Source organism: Homo sapiens, chromosome 13, assembly GCF_000001405.40.
Source record: "Homo sapiens chromosome 13, GRCh38.p14 Primary Assembly".
Classification (NCBI taxonomy): Eukaryota; Metazoa; Chordata; class Mammalia; order Primates; family Hominidae; genus Homo; species Homo sapiens.
Genome location: NC_000013.11, coordinates 112,256,271 through 112,278,963, shown reverse-complemented (window position 1 = coordinate 112,278,963; position 22,693 = coordinate 112,256,271). Strand labels below are relative to the sequence as shown.

At 41.7% G+C, this 22,693-nt stretch overlaps 2 long non-coding RNA genes across 3 annotated transcripts, besides 2 other annotated features; one reads left to right on the top strand and one right to left on the bottom strand.

The window, feature by feature from the left end:
- Nucleotides 1-3,382: 3,382 nt before the first annotated feature.
- LOC107984555 (uncharacterized) lies at nucleotides 3,383-5,825 on the bottom strand. 2 transcript variants are annotated; one of them, XR_001750072.2, is made up of 3 exons: nucleotides 5,769-5,825; nucleotides 4,345-4,624; nucleotides 3,383-3,538 (listed from the first exon to the last, which is right to left on the bottom strand). It is a non-coding gene; the product is annotated as an uncharacterized LOC107984555 (long non-coding RNA). The 2 variants fall into 2 exon arrangements; XR_007063896.1 differs by having other exon boundaries at nucleotides 3,383-4,624.
- Nucleotides 5,826-5,963: 138 nt separating this feature from the next.
- Nucleotides 5,964-22,239, top strand: LOC101928730 (uncharacterized). The gene is made up of 9 exons (NR_120422.1): nucleotides 5,964-6,712; nucleotides 7,375-7,486; nucleotides 7,782-7,856; nucleotides 15,778-16,000; nucleotides 16,648-16,808; nucleotides 16,939-17,041; nucleotides 19,150-19,338; nucleotides 21,786-21,965; nucleotides 22,094-22,239. It is a non-coding gene; the product is annotated as an uncharacterized LOC101928730 (long non-coding RNA).
- Nucleotides 18,086-18,585: an enhancer, noted in NCBI's record as "H3K4me1 hESC enhancer chr13:112914693-112915192 (GRCh37/hg19 assembly coordinates)". NCBI's record gives its function as "activates a minimal SCP1, AML or CMV promoter by ChIP-STARR-seq in primed H9 embryonic stem cells {active_cell/tissue: H9 hESC(primed)}" and the evidence as "EXISTENCE:reporter gene assay evidence [ECO:0000049][PMID:30033119]".
- Nucleotides 18,586-19,087: an enhancer, noted in NCBI's record as "H3K4me1 hESC enhancer chr13:112914191-112914692 (GRCh37/hg19 assembly coordinates)". NCBI's record gives its function as "activates a minimal SCP1, AML or CMV promoter by ChIP-STARR-seq in primed H9 embryonic stem cells {active_cell/tissue: H9 hESC(primed)}" and the evidence as "EXISTENCE:reporter gene assay evidence [ECO:0000049][PMID:30033119]".
- Nucleotides 22,240-22,693: the final 454 nt, after the last annotated feature.

The following is a 22,693-nucleotide window of genomic DNA, read 5'->3' as shown; positions in this document are numbered from 1 at the left end:
TTCTGAAGGAATGTTCCACACTTACCTGGCTCTATCCTGAAGGAATGGTCCATGGTTACCTGGGCCCATCCTGAAGAAAGAGTCCATGCATACCTGGCTGTATTCTGAAGGAATGGTCCACACTTACCTGGCTCCATCCTGAAGGAATGGTCCATTCTTACCTGGGCCCATCCTGAAGAAACAGTTCATGCTTACCTGGCTGTATTCTGAAGGAATGGTCCTTGCTTACCTGATTCCATCCTGAAGGAATGGTCCACACTTACGTGACTGCATCCTGAAGGAATGGTCCATGCTTACCTGGTCCCATCCTGAAGAAACAGTCCATGCTTACCTCGCTGTATTCTGAAGGAATGGTCCACACTTACCTGGCTCCATCCTGAAGGAATGGTCCATGCTTACCTGGGCCCATCCTGAAGAAACAGTACATGCTTACCTGCCTGTATTTTGAAGGCATGATCCTCACTTTCCTGTCTCCATCCTGAAGAAATGGTCCATGTTTACCTGGGCCCATCCTGAAGAAACAGTCCATGCTTACCTGACTGTATTCTGAAGGAATGGTCCACACTTACCTGGCTCCATCCTGAAGGAATGGTCCATGCTTACCTGGGCCCATCCTGAAGGAACAGTCCATGCTTACCTGGCTGTATTCTGAAGCAATGGTCACTGATTACCTGGCTCCATCCTCAAGGAATAGTCCATGCTTACCTGGGCCCATCCTGAAGAAGCAGTCCATGCTTACCTTGCTGCATCCTGATGGAGTGGTCCACACTTACCTGACTGCATCCTGAAGGAATGGTCCATGCTTACCTGGTCCCATCCTGAAGAAACAGTCCATGCTTACCTTGCTGCATTCTGAAGGAATGGTCCATACTTACCTGACTCCATCCTGAAGGAATGGTCCATGCTTACCTGGGCCCATCCTGAAGAAACAGTCCATGCTTACCTGGCCGTATTCTGAAGAAATGTTCCACACTTACCTGGCTCCATCCTGAAGGAATGGTCCACACTGACCTGACTCCACTCTGAAGGAATGGTCCATGCTTACCTGGGCCCATCCTGAAGAAACAGTCCATGCTTACCTGGCTGTATTCTGAAGGAATGGTCCACACTTACCTGGCTCTATCCTGAAGGAATGGTCTATGCTTACCTGGGCCCATCCTGAAGAAACAGTCCATGCTTACCTTGCTCCATCCTGAAGGAATGGTCCACACTTATCTGACTCCATCCTGAAGGAATGGTCCATGTTTACCTGGGCCCATCCTGAAGAAACAGTCCATGCTTACTTGGCTGTATTCTGAAGGAATGGTCCACACTTACCTGGCTCCATCCTGAAGTAATGGTCCACACTTACCTGACTCCATCCTGATGGAATGGTCCATGCTTACCTGGGCCCATCCTGAAGAAACAGTCCATGCTTACCTGGCTGTAGTCTGAAGGAATGGTCCACACTTAACTGGCTCCATCCTGAAGGAATGGTCCATGCTTACCTGGGCCCATCCTGAGGAAACACTCCTTGCTTACCTGGCTGTATTCTGAAGGAATGGTCCCTGATTACCTGGCTGCATCCTGAGGGAATGACCCACACTTAACTCACTGAATCTTGAAGGAATGGTCAGTGCTTACCTGGCTCCATTTTGAGGGAATGATCCATGCCTACATGGCTGCATCCTGACGGAATGATCCATGCTACCCTGGCAGCATCCTAAAGAAATGGTTCATACTTACCTACCTGCATGCTGAAGAATGGTCCCTGCTTACCTGGCTGCATCCTGATCAAATGGTCTACACTTACCTTGCTCCATTCTGAAGGTATGGTCCACACTTTTATATCTGCATCCTCAAGGAATGGTTCATGCTTACCTGTCTGCATCCTGAGGAAATGGTCCAGGGTTACCTGGCTCCATCCTGAAAAATTGTTTTATGTTTACCTGGCTGCATCCAGAAGGAATGGTCCATGCTTACCTGGCTCTATTCTGAAGGAATGTCCCATGCTTACCTGGCTCCCTCCTTAATGAAACATTCACACTTACCTGGCTCCATCCTGAAATACTGGCTCATATTTACCTGTATGTACCCTAAAGTAATGGTCCATGCTTACCTGGCTCCATGTTGAATGAATGGCCCATACTTATCTCACTTCACCCTGAATGAATGGCCCATACTTACCTGGCTCCATTTGGAAGGAATGATCCATGCTTACCTGGCTTTATCTTGAAAAAATGGTCCATGCTTACCTTGCTCCATCTGAAGGAATGTTCCACGCTTACCTGGCCGCATCCTGAAGGATTGATCCATGCTTACCTGGCTGCATCCTGAAGGAATGATCCACACTTACCTGGCTGTATCCTGAACGAGTGGTCCTTGGTTACCTGGCTGCATTCTGAGAAAATGGTCCAAACTTACCTGGCTTTATCCTAAGGGAATGGTCCATGCTTAGCTGGCTCCATCCAGAAGAAATGATCCATTCAGAAGAAAGGTTCATGCTTACCTGGCTGCATCCTGAAGAAATGGTCCACAGTTACCTGGCTGCACCCTAACGCAAAGGTCTGTGCTTACTTGGCTGCATCCTGAAGAAATGTTTCACGCTTACCTGGCTCCATCCTGAAGAAATGGTCCACAGTTTCCTGGCTGCACCCTAAAGGAAAGGTCTGTGCTTACCTGGCTGCATCCTGAAGGAATTGTCCATGCTTACTTGGCTCCATCCTGAGGGAATGGTCTATGCATACCTGGCTCCATCCTGAAGTAATAATGGCCCTCGCTTCCCTGGCTTTACACTGAAGGAATTGTCCACACTTCCCTGGCTGCATCCTGAAGAAATGATTCACATTTATCCGGCTCCATCCTGAAGAAATGATCCATGTTTACCTAGCTGCATCCTGAAGGAATGTTTCATACTTACCTGGCTGCATCCTGAAGGAATGCTTCCTGCTTACCTGGCTACACCGTGGAGGAATGGTTCATACTTACCAGCCTCTATCCTGAAGGAATTGTCCACGCTTACCTGGCTGCATCCTGAAGGAGTGGTCCATGCTTACCTGGAGGCTTCATCTGGGAAAACAACCTGTTCCATCCTCTGGCCATTTCCATCTTGGATTCCTCTGAGCTAATGACCCAGGTGTTAATTTTTTTTGTTGTTTATAGGATTATGATCACGAAAGACAAGGTTTCTGTTCTCCTGGTACTTAGATTCTAATGAGGGATCACAATCTGTGTTCACTGGGTTTCTCCAGAGAAACAGAAACAATGGGATACCAGTTCTTTGTTTTCTTTCTTTCCTCCCTTTTTTTTCTTCCTCCTTTTTCCATCTATCTATCTATTTATCGTCTATCTTCTATCATTCTTTCTTTTCTGCTTCCTTGTTTCATACATCTATCTATCTAGAGAGAGAGAAAGAGAAAAGACAAGAGAAAGAGATTTTATTATAAGGCATTGGCTCCTGCAGTTATGGAGGCTGACAAGTTCCGTGATCTGCAGGGTGAGTTGGCGAGTGGAGACCTCCGAGAGCTGATGGTGTAGCTCCAGTCCAAAGGCCAGCAGGCTGGAGACCCAGGAAGAGATGTTCCAGTTAGAGTCTGAAGGCAGCAGAAAGCTAATGTCCCAGCTTGAAGGCAGCTGGGCAGGAAGAGCCAGCATTCCAGGTGGGGGCCATCAGCCAGCAGAGTCCCCCGTTTCTCAGAGGAGGGACGGCCCTTTCATTCTATTCCAGGTTTCTCGTGGGTGGATGAGGCCCACCCCCATTAGGGAGGGCAGTCTGCTTTACTCAGTCTGACAATTAAAATATTAATCTCAACCAGAAACACCCCCCAGACACACCCAGAATGTCTGACCAAATATCTGGACACCCTGTGTCCTCATCAAGTTGACACGTAAAATTCACCATCACGTCACCCGTTGTCACCTTGGCACTGATGGGTTTCCTTAAAACCACACTTTATCCTCAAATAAAGAAGATACCAAGGTCACCATTCCACCTAACGTGATACAGCTAATCCCACATACAACTGAAAACACACAATCTCTTCCCCAGAAAAGGAAATAAAGGCCTTGAGTGAGGTTTACTCTTCTTCTGATATTTTCAACTTAGATTCTATGATGTAAAATTCACAATTCTTGAATACAATCTTATAACCTAAATACATCTTATGTTACATAACAGGATAAGAGAGGGAAGAAAACAAAGATATTTGCTATATAATACGCACACACATTCATAACAAAATTAGGAGGAAATTCTTCTGACTACTGCAGGCCTCACCTCAGTAATTAGTCACCTGGAGACAAATGTGGAAGATAATTTGAAGTCGTGATAGGAGCTGTGAAGACACACAGCCAGGCCATACTCACCCAGCAGGGCTGGGCCTCAGGGTGCCCCACAGGTGTCCCCTCAAAGCGTAGAAACCGGACTTTTGCCCACCAACTGCCTTCCATAGGGCCGGTATCTCCCCTGCAGGCCCAGCCTCTCAGGCTGCTTCAGATGTGGGCTGTGCTCATTCTTCTGGCTTGAGAAAATGTCTGGAGGAAAAGTAGTGACTACGAGGTGCACACGTGAGGTGGGATTGTGGCAGCATTCATGGCCATCGTCTCAGCTCTGCAGGCGGAATTCGAGGTGGGATGAGGAGATAATCTGTGTATGGGGCAAAAGAGATGCTTCCATCCTCATCTCCTGGCAACAGCCAGATTCCATTTTTCTCCCCATTGTACAGGAGGGGCACAGAAGTTCCGTAACTTGCCAGAGGTCACAAAGATCACAATTTGTAGAGGAAGGGTTTGACCCCAGGCAGCCAGCGAAGGATGTATGTGGGGAACTTGACTAAGTCATTAAAGCATATGAGTTTTCTACTTCGTATACTTTAATCATTTGAAAATGTATTAAATAAACATAAAATACCTTAATAATAAAAAATATGTGTATTCAGATATTTTCTTTCAGTGTGGTCTTGGTTGTGATGCACTGATACTTAAATTGATCTATGCTTTTATGTTAAGCATTATTTTCCTTTTCAGTAGAGAATAAACTAACTTCAACTATATTTCAGCAGGGAAAACATGAACTGATATAAGTTCCAATATGTTTTCTCATCGAGAACAAGATGAATACATACACACATATAAAACACATGCACTCTTAAGTAAAAATAGGATTTTTTTTTCGAGGTTTTGCTCTTGTTGCCCAGGCTGGAGTGCAATGGTGTGATCTCAGCTCACTGTAACCTCCGCCTCCAGGGTGTAGCTGGGATTACAGTTGCCTGCCACCACGTCTGGGTAATTTTTGTATAAAAATAGGACTTTAAAAAAAAATCCAAATTTCTGATATTTAGGGACCATGACACAGCAATGTCTCCTGCACTGGACTTTATGTTTTATTAGTAAAGATTTTACCACTTTATTAAAATTATAATTTGGTATAATTATTATAATTTGGATAATATCTGAATGATACCTCTGATATATCTGAGTTATGATCTGGACTGAAGTAGACTTAACAACAATCAATTTCAGTAAATATAGCCAAGTGACCATGTAGTGTTACAAGTTCCAAAATTTCCACCCCAAGAATGACACGGCCACAGACGTGGGATGTGTGGCCTCTGCTCAGGACAGAGGGGACCCGGTGGGGCACCGCTGAGAGCTCTGAACTGAGAGAGACAGAAACCAGTTACCACTCATTCAGACCACTGACTTGGGCAGTTGACTGAATCTCTCAGGGCCTGTTTCCCTGTATTGACAATAATAACCTACCATGGAGATGAGGATGAAACTTTACCTACCGCAAACCTCTATGGAAATACGGGTTGTTAATATTAACCACCATCAGTGAGCCCATGGCTATGGCCACAGCCTAGAGAGGCTGAAACGGTTAACTGTGACTAGACACCGGAGGTTGGAGACTTACTTGCTTTATGACTGGGTTGACTCGTAAATGCCACGTAGACTTGCAAAGGAAGCGGTAAAGAGCTGTACCCCCGCTCTGGGGGGTTTATCATCAGAAGGAGAGAGACCCGAGGGAGCCACCTGCCCACTCCAGATGAGGTGCTCCGTGGAACACGAGGAGCACACGAAACCCGATCAGCTTTGTGTGACTTCCGCGTGTGGGGTGGCACGCGTGTGCTTGCTATTCATTGTTTCTGCTGGGGGCATTTTTATCTTTTGAAATTCTTTCTTCTGAACCTTTCGTGCCTACCAGAACCAGCCTGTCAGGATGCGCCTGATCTCCACAGCAGCCCCTCCATCCGACTCTGAAGAAGCCGTCAGCTCACAGAAGATTCCTTTTGTTTAATGAGTAACAGCTACTGACTCACTCCATGGCCCACCAGAATGACAGACTCCTGTTCAAAAGCCTGATCTGAAGTTGCTGCCATGACACAAGCAATGCCTGTGAAGTGCCTGCAGCCCACGCCTCTGAGACAGGCCAGGCGTGTGGTGGACACGCAGCTGCAGGCGCTTGCTCTCTGTCATCACGAGAAAAAGTATCCCTGCACCGGACAAGAAAGGACCTGCAGGCACACTCACAATCAACTTCCTGATTTCACAATGATGGTAGGGAGCCCTGTGGGCACTAGAAGCAGCGGGGAGGGGTTCTAGACCTTTGGTGCCCAAGAGACTTCCGTGCATGGAAAATGTTGACTTCTAGCTTCCATCTGCAGCGAACTCTCCATCGGGACATGGGACCTGGCTGTACGAGTTAATTCAAACTGAGCCACTTTCCATTAGGGTGAGCCACTTTTCATCATATGCTTATCATAACAATCAGATCTTTTGTGTAAACTGGAGCTTTTTTAAACTTAGCGTCTTTCCCAGATAGAGTGCACTCTTTCTGGTCACAGGATTGCATTCGCGTCCTTATTTTCCTGCTATGAGGAAGTGTTGATCTGGTCCAGGTGTGTTTTAAAGTATACACCCTGGACCATTCCATCATTACAGGGAGCGGAGTGGGGTTATCTGGAGGCCTCATCTGCTAGGAGACGAGGGATGTGCTGGGGGCAACAGGAGGCTGTGCTGTGTCCACACCAACTCCTTTTCAGGAACCGTTCAGAAGCTCAGGGACGTGAAACCTAAACTCTGTCCTCCAAGTCTTCTTGCAGCTGATGTACCTGAGGTGGTTTAGGTGACACTAATCTGGGGTCCTGAGGAGGCTCTGACTTTGAAATCCAGTTAAGCGAGAAGGAAGGTGGGGGATGAGGTGCCCATTCTGCTCGTGTCATGAATATTATTTTCACTGCTGTTATCTGATGTTGATTAGCATATATTTTTCATATATATATATATATATATATATCTGTGTGTGTGTATGCCATATATGTATTTGCAGAAATACTTTGAGGCCTTATATAATGTTATCTTCCTCCAGAGATAATTTTCTCTTCCTTTTTCCAGGCACCAAATGGAGTTAGCAATCCAAGATTATTTTATTTTCTGGGCTATCCAGATGACTTAAAGCCTCGCTGAAGTTCCCATGAGAAGAGTTTAAACAACCCAAAGAAAGCACGTAAGAAAGGAATAACAACAACAAAACCCAGAAAGAATGAATAGGAAACAAATGCAGTGGTTCCCCTTACCTGTGGCGAAGACGTTCCAAGACCCCCAGTGGATAGTACCAAGCCCTAGATATATGATATTTTTTCTGTATACACACACACCTATAATGAAGCTTAATTTATAAGTTGGGAACAGTAAGAAATTAGCAACAGTAACTAATATAACAATATACAATAATAAAAGTGATGTGTGTGTGATTTCTCTCTCTCAAAATATCTTATTGTACTGTATGCACCTATTTTCAGATCATGGTCGACTGCAGGGAACTGAAACTACAGAAATGAACACTTCCAATAAGAGGCAACTACTGTTCTCAAACGGTAGAGTCAAACATAACCATATTACACCAAATGTTACATCAGTGTTTAACTCACATCATGTTAAACATTGCAATGAAGAGAAGAGATTCTCCAGTGAATACAAATGCAACACCCAACTCCATGCTTTTTACAGGAAATCTGACTTTAAATATAAAGTCACAGATGGGTTGATGTGAATAGATTCAAGAAAAGATATACCACACAAGCATAAAGCATAACAGCCTCAAGTGGGTATCTTTCTATCAGAAAATAGATATTAAGACAAAAACATTACCAGAGATAAAGAGCACTTTATAACAAAAGGCTCATTTAGTCAGAAAACACAATAATTATAAATGTGTAGTATCTAATAATGGAGCTTCTAAATACATGAAGAAAAATGGATAGAAATATAGGAGAAATAGAAAATTCCACAATCAGAGTTGGATACTTTAAACCCCATATCAGCAATTTATAGAAGAACTAGACAAAAGATCAGAAAAAAAGAATAACTAAAAAACACTATTGGCCAGGTGTGGTGGCTCATGCCTGTAATCCCAGCACTTTGGGAGGCCAAGGCAGGTGGATCACCTGAGGTAAGGAGTTTGAGACCAGCCTGGCCAACATGGCGAAACCCTGTCCCTACTAAAAATACAAAAACTAACCGGGTGTGGTGGTGCATGCCTGTAATCCCAGCTACTTGGGTGCCTGAGGCGGGAGAATCATTTGAACCTGGGAGGCGGAGGTTGCAGTGAGCCGAGATCATGCCATTGCACTCCAGCCTGGGCAACAAGAGCGAAACTCTATCTCAAAACAAAACAAAACAACCAAAAAAACCCCACTATTGACCTTGAGTTTACTGATATTTGTAGAGCACTATACCTTATGGCAGCAGAATACAAATTCTTTTCACCTGTGTGTGCTACTCCAGCAGGTGCCAGATTCTGTAGCCTAAAACAAGTCTCATCAGATTTAAGAAGATTGATGTCACATAGAGTATGCTCTCGACTACAATAAAGTTAAGTTAAAGAGCTTCACCATAAATATAACTGGGACGCCCCCAGATATTTGGAAATTAAACAACACATTTGTAAATAATCCATGAGTAAAATTAAAAAGAAAATCAGAAAATATTTTTAGCTAAATAATAAAAATACATTTCAATAGTTATGGGATGCAGCTAACATAGTAACGAGGGAAATTTGTAGATTTAAATTCACATTTTAGAAAAATAGTCTACATCCAGTAATCTGAGTTACCAACTTAAGATATTAGTAAAAGAAAATTAAACCAAAAGTAAGAAGAAAAAAAATAATAAAAAGAGGGGTAGAAATTATTAAAATCAAAACTAAAATAAATAAATATCAGTGAAACAAAAACTGGTTCTTTAAGAATTTATGAACCTTCAGTTAGACTAGTCAATGGAGGGGGTGAAAACAGAAGAAACTCAAATTACCAATAACAGGAACAAAAGAAAAAACATCTCTATAGATCAGACAGTTAAAAGGCAAAAAGCGAATATTATGAGTAACTCTATGCCAATAAATTTTGTAATCTAGATGAAATGAATCACATTTTTCAAAGACACAAATTACCAAAAGTGAAATTGGTAAATTGAATACTTACATATCTCTATGTCAATTATAAATTTGGATTTGTAGTAAGTTATCTCCCCATAGGACCTCTCAATTCTGAAGGAAATGTAGTGTTGATAGTTTTCAAACCAGAATGAGGAAGATGTTGAGATTATCAGGGAAAGAACTGAAAGAACCTACTTTAATCATGTATCCTGAGGTAAAGGCAAACATTCTTGATATGACAGAAAAGCCTCATCAGAGAAATAGAACTATAAAATACAACCAAATGGAAATGTTAGAACTGAAAAATACAATCTCTGAAATTAAAAAAAAATCACTGGAGGGGCTCAATAGCACAATGGAGGTCATGGAACTTACAGTCTGTGAACTTGAAGATTAAATCATAGAAATTATTCAATCTAAAAAAACAGAGAAAAAAGGATTGAATAGAAAATAAATAGACCTGTGAGGAAATATCAAAAGCTTAACATTTACGACAGTAGAGTCCTAAAGAGACAGAAGAAAGAGATTGGTGTGGAATTTGAAGAAAGTATGGCCAGACATGCTGAACTGAAAGACAGATGTACAGATTGAAGAAGATCAGAGAGCCCCATACAGAATAAACTCAAAGGAAATCACACCAAAGCACATTATAGTCGAAGTACTAAAAATAAAAGATAAATAAACATCATGAAAGCAGGCAAAGAAAAGCACTGCATTACATGCAGGAAATAATAATTTGAACAACTTAAATTTCTTATCAGAAACCATGGAACCTGGAAGACAGTGGAACAATATCCTTAAAATGCTGAAAGATGATGGCCAACCAAAAATTCTATACCAGTGAAAATATGCAGAAGAATGGTAGCAAAATAAGGACATTCTCAGATAAATGAAAACAAAAAGAACTCATAAGCAGAACTGCTCTTGAGAAAATACTAAATGAAATTATTGACGCTGAAGAGAAATGATATCAAAAGGAATCCTGGAACTTCAAAAAGTAAGAAGAGTGAGAGAAGGCAAACATATGAGTAAATATATCAAGCTATTCTTGTTTCCCTCTTAAACATCACTCTGAAAGCAAAAATTATAACATTTACTAGGTGGTATTCAATAATGATAGATAATATTTATGAAGCTATAAAATAAAAGGGGAGAACAAGCAGAGCTACATGTTTGTAAACCTTCCATATTTTGAATAAAGTGGTAAAATATTAAATATAATTAGACTAAAATTTTAGGTAAATGTTAAGTCATGGTGTATTATCATTTTTACATATTGCTAGAGTTGATTTGCTAATGCTTTGTTGAGGACTTCTTTTGCAACTATGTTTATGAGGGATATTTGTCTATAATCACAAGAGTAAGTAATCACAAGAGCGATTACTAAAAAAACAAAGAAAAACAAACAAACAAAAGACAAACAAGAAGCCATAACAAAAAAGATAACAGAAAAATACAATACTAAAGCAATCCAAATAATTAAGAAGAAAGCAAGAAAATAGGAACAGAGATATCAAAACTGAGGGAACGAATAAAAAACAAATCTTAATATAGTAGACCTAAATACAAACAAATCAATGATTACATGAAATATAAATGGTCTTAACTCGCCTATTAAATAATGGAGTATGTCAGATTGGGCTAAAAACAAAGACTCAGCTGTATGTTGTTTATAAGAAAACAACTTTAAATATGCTGACATAGGTTAAAAGTAGAAGAATAAAAGTAGATGTACAATGCAAACACTATTGAAAAGAAATTTGATTGCTTGTATTAATATCAGACAATGTAGACTTTAGAACATGGAAAATTACCAGAAATAAAGAGGGGTATTGCATAAAGGTAACAGGGTCAATAACTAGGAGGGCTCCGAAATATATAAAGTGAAAGAAATACAACTGAATACAGAAATAGACAAATTCACAATTATATTTGAAAATGTCATTATATCTGTCTCTGTAATTGATAGGATGATTCAAGTGAAAATCAGCAAGGAGTTGCTTGTAAATTCTAGATATTAGGCCTTTTTCAGATGGGTAGATTGCAAACATTTTCTCCCATTCTGTAGGTTGCCTGTTCACTCTGATAATAGTTTCTTTTGCTGTGCAGAAGCTCTTTATTTTAATCAGATTCCATTTGTCAATTTTGGCTTTTGTTGCCATTGCTTTTGGCTTTTTTGTTATGAAGTCTTTGCCCATGCTATGTCCTGAATGGTATTACCTAGGTTTTCTTCTAGGGTTTTCATGGTTTTGGGTTTTACATTTAAGTCTTTAATCCATCTTGAGTTAATATTTGTATAAAGTGTAAGGAAGGGATCCAGTTTCAGTAGTCTGCATATGGCTAGCCAGTTTTCCCAGCACCATTTGCTGAATAGGAGATCCTTTCCCCATTGCTTGTTTTTGTCAGGTTTGTCGAAGATCAGATGGTTGTAGATGTGTGGTGTATTTTCTGAGGTCTCTGTTCTGCTCCATTGGTCTACATATCTGTTTTGGTAGCAGTACCATGCCGTTTTGGTTACTGTAGCCTTGTATAGTTTGAAATCAGGTAGCGTGATGCCTCCAGCTTTGTTCTTTTTGCTTAAGATTGTCTTGGCTATACGGGGTCTTCTTTGATTCCTATGGAATTTAAAATAGTTTTTTTTTTTTCTAATTCTGTGAAGAATGTCAATGGTAGTTTGATGGGAATAGCATTGAATCTATAAATTACTTTGGGCAGTATGGTCATTTTCATGATATTGATTCTTTCTATTCATGAGGATGTAATATTTTTCCATTTGTTTGTGTCCTCTCTTATTTCCTTGAGCAGTGGTTTGTAGTTCTTCTTGAAGGGGTCTTTCACGTCCCTTGTTAGCTGTATTCCTAGGTATTTTATTCTCTTTGTAGTGATTGTGAATGGGCATTCATTCATGATTTGGCTCTCTGCTTGTCTATTGTTGGTGTAAAGGAATGCTTGTGATTTTTGCACATTGATTTTGTATCCTGATACTTTGCTGAAGTTGCTTATCGGTTTAAGGAGTTTTTGGGCTAAGATGATGGGGTTTTACTAAATATAAAATCATGTTGTTTGCAGACAGAGACAATTTGACTTCCTCTCTTCCTATTTGAATATGCTTTATTTCTTTCTCTTGCCTGATTGCCCTGGCCAGAACTTCCAATACTATTTTGAATAGGAGTGGAGAAAGAGGGCATCCTTGTCTTGTACTGGTTTTCAAAGGGAATGTTTCCAGCTTTTGCCCATTCATTATGATATTGGCTGTGGATTTGTTATAAATAGCTCTTATTATTTTGAGATATGTTCCATCAATACCTAGTTTATTGAGGTTTTTAACATGAAGGGATGTTGAATTTTATCAAAGTCCTTTTCTGCATCTATTGAGATAATCATGTGGTTTTTATCTTTGGTTCTGTTTATGTGACTGATTACGTTTATTGGTTTGTGTATGTTGAACCTGCCTTGCATCCCAGGGATGAAGCCAATTTGATCATGATGGACAAGTTTTTTGATGTGCTGGTGGATTTGGGTTGCCAGTATTTTATTGAGAATTATTTTCATATCTATGTTCATCAGGGATATTGGCTTGAAGTTTTCTTTTTTTGTTGTGTCTCTTCCTGGTTTTGGTATCAGGATGATGCTGGCTTCATAAAATGAAGGATATAGAAGATGCAAACAACACAAAAAACTTGATCTAATTGTCATATATAGAACTTTCCACCCCAAAAGAGCAAAATACACATTGGTTTTTCAAGTGCACATGGAACATTCTGAAAGATAGGCCATGTTCTGGAGCATAAAGTAAAGCCTAAACTTAAAAAAGAAATCATTCAAAGCATGTTCTTGGTACATAACAAATAAAATAGAAGTCAATAATGGAATATTATTGGAATGATACACAAATACTTGAAAATTAAACAGCACACTTCTGAAATAACTTATGGATCACTAGTAATTCTCAAGTGAAATTAGTGAAAATATTGTGAACTGAATGAAAATAAAAATTCATCATATTAAACTTTGTAGGATGCAGCTAAAACAGAGCTTAGAAGGAAATTTGTGACATAAAATGTTGTGTTAGAAATCTAGAACATGGAATGTTTTATTAGAATATAACAAAACTCCTAAATCAATAATCACATTTTCCCCTATAGAAACTAGTTAAGGAAGAGTAAATTAAACCCAAAGTAAGTAAAAGGAATATAATAATAAAGGTAAGAGACTAAAGCAGTCAAATTAAAAACAGAAAAGCAGAAGAGAAAATCAATGAATCCAAAGGCTGTTTCTCTAACAAGATAATAAAACTGATAAAACTCTAGTGAGAATAACCATGAGAAAAAGAAAGAAGACACAATTTTCCAATGTTAGAAATAAAAGAGTGGGCATCACTGTAGACCCTACAGACATGAAAAGGGTAATAAAGGAACACCACAAATGACTATCTGCCTGTAGGGTTGACAGTTCAGATAAAATGGACTAATTTCTTGATAATCATAAATTACTAACGCCCATTCAAGAAAAACAGGCAACATGAATAGTCCTATATCTACTAAAGAAGTTGAATTTTTAATTACAACCTTCCTAATTAGCAAACTTCAGGCCTTGATTGTTTTACTGGTGAATTCCACCAGCATTTAAGAAAGAAATAATACCAATTCTGCAAAATCTCTTCCAGAAAATAGAAGAAGAGAAAACACTGCTCAATAAATATTACCTTTATACAAAAACTACACAAAGATATTCTAAAAAAAGAGATTCTTACAAATATCCCTCATGAACATAGTTGCAAAAGTTCTCAACAAAGCATTAGCAAATCAACTCTAGCAATATGTAAAAATGATAATACACCATGACTTAGTGGGGTTTATCCCAGAAATGCAAGTCTATCTCAACATTAAAAATTAATGTAGAAAAAGCATGTGACAAGTCTCAATGTCCATTTATAATAAAGATGCTCAAAAACCTTAGAAAAGTCTCTTATCTCAATAAAGGGCAGCTACAGGAAACTGCATTGGACCCCACACTTGGTGGTGGAAGATAGAGCTTTCTTCCTAAGGTGGGAAGCAAGACAAGAATGTCAGGTTTCACTGCTCCCAGTCCACATGGTGCAGAAAGTCTCAGTGCAATCAGGCAAAAAACAAACAAACAAACAAAAAACCATACACAAATCCCACAAACAAACAAAAAACCCAAAAAACAAAAGGCATATAGGTTGGAAAGAAACACTTGCGACTTACATTATTTTCTATGCAGAATATCTCCAAAGGCACCTTAGTGGCTCCTATAACTAATAAGTGAGTTTGGCAAGTTCACAGGATACATATTTAATATGAAAAAATCAATTGTATTTCTGAATGAACAATTGGAATTGAGATTTTTTAAAAGTACTATTTCAATTGCACCAAAAAAGAGAGAAATATTTAGATGTACGTACAGCAAAAAATGTGGAGGACATGTGTGCTTAAAAGTACAAAATGCTAATGAATGAAACCAATGATAACTTAAAAGAATGGAAAGATATATTGTATTCCTGAATTGGAAGCTTCAATATTACTAAAATAACAGTTCTGCCCAAGTTGAGACAGACGACTAATAGAGAGAACACACATAAAGGATAGAGAGATAGAGATGGATAGATAGAGATAGATGTTGTAGATATTGACAAGTTGGTTCTAAGACTTACATGAAAGGTAGAGGAATGAGAGTATCCAAAACAATTTTGAAAAAGAATAAAGTTGAAGGCTTACACAACCTGGTTTTAATATTTATTATAATACTACAATAATCAAGACAGTATGGTTCTGTGAAAGATCAGACACATAGATCAATTGATTCACACAGTAGGATCAGCTTTTTTTTTTTAAACAAAGTCATAAAGGCAATTCAGTACAGAAAAGAATAGTTATGTCAAACTGTAGGCTCAAACAATTGAACAAACATGAAAAAAAGAGACAAGAACCCTGACCTACATACCTCATACAAAAATTAACTCAAAATCGGTTGTAGAATAGGAATGTCTTAAGGAGCCATCCTATGCTTACCTCACCACTGTATATTGGATGTGGCTGGGGAGTTTAAAGCTGAGCAGATAACTTGTCTCTTTATTAAAGAGCAAAACCAGGCCCATCTCCCACAGCCGGACCTAACCTAGGTGCTGAAATTCTGGGCTTTGGGCTGAGCTGCGAAGGGATGAGGCTTACTGGGCTGTGGAAGGGGACACATGTATTCCGTGAGTAGGAAGAACGCGAATCACTGGGGCCTGAGGCCAGACTGTGATGGCTTTCAGGATGGCCCCAGCAATCTTCCCTGACAGTTCTCTTCAGCACTGATAAGACACAGCAGAAGTGATGGTGTGTTACTTCCAAATCCAGGCCCTAAAAGGCACCGAGACTTTCACCTTGTCACGAAGATGCCCAGGGAGCCCACGGAGAGGTCAACATGGCAAGCACTGGAGGTGGAAGGGGTCATGGGGGTCTGGTCCTCCTGCCACAGTCAAGCTTTCAGATGATGCAGCCTGCTGACATTGTGACTGAAGGACACCAAGCTGGAACTACCCATCTAGGCCTCTCTGGACTCTTGGCCCACAGAAGCCAGGTGAGGTAATAGGTGTTTCTTGTCTAAGCTACTGAATTTTGAATTAATTTGTTCTAAACGTTGGATAATGATACCAGTTCCACTTGAAAACTCTAATCCTCTTGTTCTACCTTTCTGTCCAGGTCATTTATTTACTATTGTGATGTGGTTATTGATACAAACAACATGAAGAAAGGACTGTATCAAAGTTCTGAGCCCTCCCTGGGGCCCCAGGACAGCATTGGTAATAAGTGCTGGGATGATTCTGTCTTCATTTCAGGGGTTGTCACAAAGGGAGCTGGGCAGCTAAGGTGCTCACAGCTCCCTGGGTCCTCCCAGACCACCTTTTGATCACTCATTCACTTCTGTTTGCAGCTGTGTCCTTCAGCCCTACCCAATCCTTGCATCTCACAGGGAGATGTGGAAGTCTAGGGCTCTGAAGAACCAGAGTTTTGACCAAGTGTTAGTGGCTCATTTTTCCTCATCTGTTTCTTCTCACCCGGTTTTAGTGTCTTGCACACAGAGTGTCCAATAGATAGATATTGATTAAGTTGATGGCCCAGGAGACAAGGAGAGCTACCCAAAGGCTACACATTTCCCTTTGAGTCCATTAGAAATCAAATACGGGGCAAACTTAGAAAAAAGTGAACCCACGTTCTCCCGCCCAGGTGAAGCAGAATCAGAGAAGGCTTGAAGCTCAGCCTCCCCAAGCTACGAATGCATGATTGCACCAGCGCAAGACAGGAATCCCCAGTCCCGGCTGCAGGGGCCAGGGCAGCTTGGACTCTCCACGGCTCTTCAGCTTGGCTTTCTGGGCATTTCAAGACAGGTAAATACAGGCTGTTTTCATCTGTGCTGACCTCTGTGCTCTGTCCTCATAGGGTCACTTGTTTCTCAGGTGGCCCTCAGGCCTGTGATCTTGTCCTCATGGGGTCACTTGTTTCCCGGGTGGCCCTCAGGTCATGGAAGGTCCACTGGGAGCCGAGGATGCTGTTCTTGCAGTAAAGGTCTCAGCTTCTGCTATGCCAGTCAATCGGGGTGAAGGAAGTGACTTTTCTTCAGGTAAGACTGAGAGCAGACAGGACAGGTGCCAGGCAAGGAAGGAAGCCTCTTGCCTGCACTCTGTGAGTGCTGGTTAAAGCATCGACAATGCGTTTCCAATGCAGAGCACTGGGAACCAGGGCAGCAGCTGCAGAATCAGCTCCAGGGATGATGATGGGGTCAAGTCAGTGCCTCCTCAGGGCTGTTTCCAAGCAGGTGCCCATTTAGGGCAGGGTTTGGATTGACTTTAAAAAAATCCAGTCTTCTGGGAGAACAGTAAGGAAATACAGTGTATTCTAAGAGAAGAGGAGGCAGTCATGAAGATCCTAAGAGAGGTGATATGTGAGTGTTGATTTGCTGGTGTTTGATAGGGGTGGCATGGTGAATCAGCGCTCATCTTAATCGCCCATATTGATGGATGAGCAAGGGTGAACAGCAGTGAGAGTCTGCACTCTCTACTTACCTAGGAAAACAGCACAGCTACTGAGCTTGTGCCTGCAGTGCTTCAGTAGTGTCTGCAGTCTGGGGCCATGCTGATTTGCTAATCCTTGATCTCAGCTGGGTGTGATTGCCACCGTGGTCCCTGGCTCATGAGGGGCAGGCACACCACTAATTGGCAGGTGCTGGCCTGCTTTGTAGGGGGCTGGGTGGGGAGCCAGGATGCTCTGCAGTGGAGGCCTGAATGGATGACTCTCTGCACCTGGGGGCTGGGTGGGGAGCCAGGGTGCTCTGCAGTGGAGGCCTGAATGGATGACTCTCTGCACCTGGGGGCTGGGTGGGGAGCCAGAGTGCTCTGCAGTGGAGGGATCTGCATTGATGACTCCCTGGACTTCCTTGCCAGAAAAAAATCTTTATTTTATATTTTGCTGTTTTAAATGTAACGTGCATTTTTCATCACTTGCTATTAAAACTATATTTTTAAAGATTTGAAGCTATAAACACCAAACTTACAAGTACCTGGGGCGTACGGCGAATCACAGTTCTGCCCTCTGAGCCAGTGGTTGCAACCTTTGGCCCCATGGGGGAAGAATCTGGGGTGCTGCTTGCTGAGAGCTCCCAGCCAAGACCTCCCCCGGAGGTGCCTTTGGTTGACAGGTGCTGCTTCACCTAAGTGGCCCTTCCCAGGAGCGGCTCGGAGGACACACAGGCTCGGCTCTCAACCCTCAATTCAGGATGTGCCTACAGGGCCGTCCTGGCATGGGATTCCACATGGGGTTGCCGAAGCCTCTTGCCTTTGCACCCTGGCTTACCTTCCTCTCTTTCAATGCTGCTTCCCTGAATCCTTCCAGGTGTTACTCCTGACAGCACTCCCCACTACACCACCTGCACACACATCTGTCTTGGATCTGCTTCCAAGAACCCGCATCTGCTCCACCATCCCACCTGCCGACACTATTTTCAAGTGGGCTTAGACGTGCAGATACGAAGGAGATGAAGTAAGAGCTGCTCCGGCCCTCGGATGATGCAGACTCCACGAGCTCGTGCTTCCCGTGGCTCCTAGGGGAGCCCAGACCACCCTGTGCACCAGCAGTGAGGGCTCAGTGCTGGGAGCTGCGCTCTGGAGCCTTTGCTCCTCTGCAGTGTCACGAGTCCCTGTGGCGGGTGGTGGCCGCCTCTTCCTGCAGCAATTCTCTCCCACCTCCTTTCCTCCACCTCAGAGAGATAGCGGGTGTGAAATGGCCCAGAACCGAGGTCCCTGCACTGCTGCAGGCACAGAGGACGGGTAGGATTGTGTGGGAGAGCCCTGGGGGTAAGCCTTTCGCCTACGTCCCTCCTGCCGCCAGCCAGTGCCGGGAGCTTAGTTTTCTTATCTGTAAAATTAGGTCTCATTAGGTTGTGAAAATTAGAGACGATGTATATAAGGTTCCAGTGCAGTGTCCAGCACATAATGAGATTGGATGAATGCTAACTTCTTTTTAGTGTTATCGTGATTATTGTGATTATTATTATCATCACATGTAGACCTTTGACCAGAAATTAGAGAGGACTCAAAAAGAAAGAGAAAGCTACGGAACCACACAAATGCAGTAGAAGCACGTTCTGTGCTGCAGAATTTATTAGAGGCGAGCAAAGCCTCTTTAGTAATTGATAGAGACGTGGTACTTAATGTGAACTTTGAGTAATTGCAGATGGAGAGGCCAAGAATTTTATGCAGATAGCAACAAGGTCCCTGACACAGGGAAGCAATATCCCTGCACAGACCAGCTTAAGACAAGATTAGTGTGGAGCACAGGAGGATCAAGAGGATCTGCACGGGGTGAGATAAGGAATCTGGACAGACCAGAAAAGAGGCGATTCCCCAGACACCCAGTGAGAAGGTGAGGATGAGGCTGGCGGCTGAAATCTGAGCCTCACAGAGTGGCATTTATAGTTGTCGGTGTATTATTATGCTTGAGTCAACCGGAATGGAAAATATGCATGATTTTTATCACATGGAGTTTGGGTTTTTTGTGGAAAACTCTAGAAAGGGATTTGAACCTCACTTGACTCATTGCAAATGAGGTTTCATGCCCAGAGGAGGACAAACCAAATTCTGCCTTCTCCTGCTTATTCCACCTGCGTGTCCTGGGTGCCCATCCTTTTCACCTGCCTCTCGCCCTGCAGAGGGATGAGCTCTGTGGAGCACCTTCTCTTCCCTCCAGGAGCACCTGCCTCACCTTCTTCCTTACCACTCGCCTCCATCATAACCGTGCTCTCTTCATTCCTTCTTCATCTGTCCCATTTCTAAGTGAAAAATGTTCTTACTGTGGCTAGAAAGCAAAAGATGGCAGGATCATCATGTGTTGAGGAAAAGGGAAACCACAAATTTGGTTGTGATTTTACTTCAAAATGTTCGTAGATTCAACAAACACTTTGGTACCTGTGAGAGTGTATAACTCCTTATGAAAAGCACAGGCTGGCTTCACTCACGTATGTGAGTGCATGGCTCAGCCAACGGAACCTAGCAGTCCATCAAATATGTTGGAGAGCCCGTCCCAGGTGGGCTGATTTGAAGCTGGTGCAACAGTAGAAAATCTCTTCATGTCATTTGCCATCTTTACAGATCAGTGGAGAAGAGCTGTATGATCTGCTCAAAAGAAAGAAATGTGTTTGATAAAATTCAGTATGTATCCTTGATAAAAATCTTAAAATAAGAATGGAAGGAAATTTTTAAAGTCGACAAATCTCTAAGTAACAACAGCAGAAAACCATAAAAACCAAAGTTACCAAAAAAAATCACAACAAATTTCACTGTCAATAGTAAGACATATCCAAGTGAAGAATACTAACTACCACTACATCTGTTCAACATTAAATTAGCACAAAAGACAAGTAAATGTGAAAGGTATGAGTATTAAAAAGAAAACATACAAAGCTGTCATTATTTAGATGACTAGATTATATAAAGAGTACACCCACAAATACTTTAAAACATTTAGGATACATAAGACATGCTTAAATATTGAGTAATATGTACCAGTATTTTTTTTAATTGCATTTCTGCCTACCAGCAACATTTAGAGAATTTAATCTATAAGAAGACATAGTTGAACTCTACTTCTGGTTAAGACGGAGTAGCAGGGACTGAATTTAGCCTGAACCAACTAAAAAAAATCACACAAATTATATTAAATAACAGTTTTCAGGGCCGGGTACAGTGGCTTATGCCTGTAATCCCAGCACTTTGGGAGACCAAGGCAGCCAGATCACCTGAGATCAGGAGTTCAAGACCAGCTTGGCCAATATGGTTAAAGCCCCTCTCTACTAAAAATACAAAAATTAGCTGGGCGTGATGGTACACACCTATAATCCCAGCTACTCAGGAGGCTGAGGCAGGAGAATCACTTGAATCCAAGAGGCGGAGGTTGCAGTGAGCTGAGATTGTGCCACTGCACTCCAGCCTGGGCAATAGAGCGAGACTCGGTCTCAAAAGAAAAAACAATAAAAGAACAGTTTTCAAAACAATGGGCTTAACCACTGCATTAAGCTTTACAACTGTATCATTAAGCTATTTAGACTTGATTATAAGTTTTACTGTTTATTTAATATCACTTTTTCTATATTTTATGTTAAGTTCTTTATTCTAACTCATTTTTCAGTTGTATGGAGTGTCTTCTTGAGTAATTCTTTCAGAAAAGTTTATTTTTTCTGAGTCCTTGCACTTCCAAATACTCCTTTTATTTGCCCTTACAGTTGAACAATAATTAAATATTCATATAATTCATAATAATTTAACCTTAAAACTCTGTAAAGTTGGCTTTATTACTATGTTTCATTTAGTGTTGCAGTTGAGAATTAAATACCAGACCAAATATCTTTCTTTTGTAGATAATTATTAAATTTATAAAATTTTCTTCTTTTTATTTCAGTTTTATGCTTTTTTTTTTTTCCTTTATCCTGGGAAATTAGCAGCTTAACCAGGAAATCTCAGGACGTGGCTCTTATCATTGTCATCCCACCCGACTCTCTGGGAGCCACTTTGTCTGAAAACCAAATTTCTTTCCAGAGCCCAGCTTGGGGTCCCCGTGGTGAGGCTGGGGGCAAGAGGGGCTGCAGGCAGGCCTTCTCCCCACACCTGCCTCAAAGTGTGGGTGGATTTGGGCTTTGGGTGCTGGGTGTGGTGGGGTTTGGTTTCTCACCCACCCCAGGCCCGGGAGCTGTGTCAATGTGTCTGTCTAGGTCTCTCCTTCCTGAGTCCTCTCCCCAAAAATCCACCAGGCAACACACACGTGGTGGGACCTGGTGAGAAAGAACCAGTTTTGATTTTTTGATTTGGCCACCACAGTGACATTTGGGAGATGAGGATGGGCCATTTACATACATCATGAATGGGAATGCCTGTATTGTTCATGTAACTCGCAGGGAAAATGTCAGAAAATTCATCCAAATCTACATTGTACACTTGATGAGGCAGCCGATTGGCTGAGAGGCTTGGGAAAATCAGCCGGGTCTACCCAGAGCTTACGTGAGTCTACAAAATCAGCCCTTTAGGAACTTGCGGGTCATCTGTAGCAATTAGGGCGGCTGTCCCCAGGGCCTGGTGTGGGTGCGGGGCATATCCTCCTCTATTAAGTACCTCTTGCTTCCTGACAGGTAGCTCAGATTGCGGGCACATGGCTGTGGGGCACCCTAATTCCTGAGGGTCCCCCCAACATGGGCTGGCAAGGCGGGGATTGCAAAAGTCTCCAGTTACCAGCACCCTGAACATGCACCCTTTGATTAAATCACCCCACACCAAATAACACCAACCTCTGTGTTGAATTTTTTGAAAATAAACTTAATTTTTATTTATAGAAAGAGAGAGATAATTCTTTCAGAATTTCTCTAATCTCTCACTTGTACGAGCCCCAACTCTTTCTCCTGAACACTCCCAGATTTCAAAAGTAATTTGAATTCCCTTAATCAGTCAGCTAACTCCTTCTGTTTTATTCCTTATGATTAGGGTAAAATAATATATTTAGCATGAGATGATCAGGGAAACTACTGTATTTGTTCTTTGGACTAAGCAAAAGCATCTCCCCCTGTATTGACACATTTATGAGAAAGAAAATGGCTCATTTATGGGACAAAGCTTCCACCAGATCTTTCAGAAGATCTCAAAGTACAGAGGCCCATGCATTCTCTCAGAAAACTCTATTAAGTACATTATAAAGCAATTTTTGATTTTCAACACAATTTTGCTACTGGCTAAAC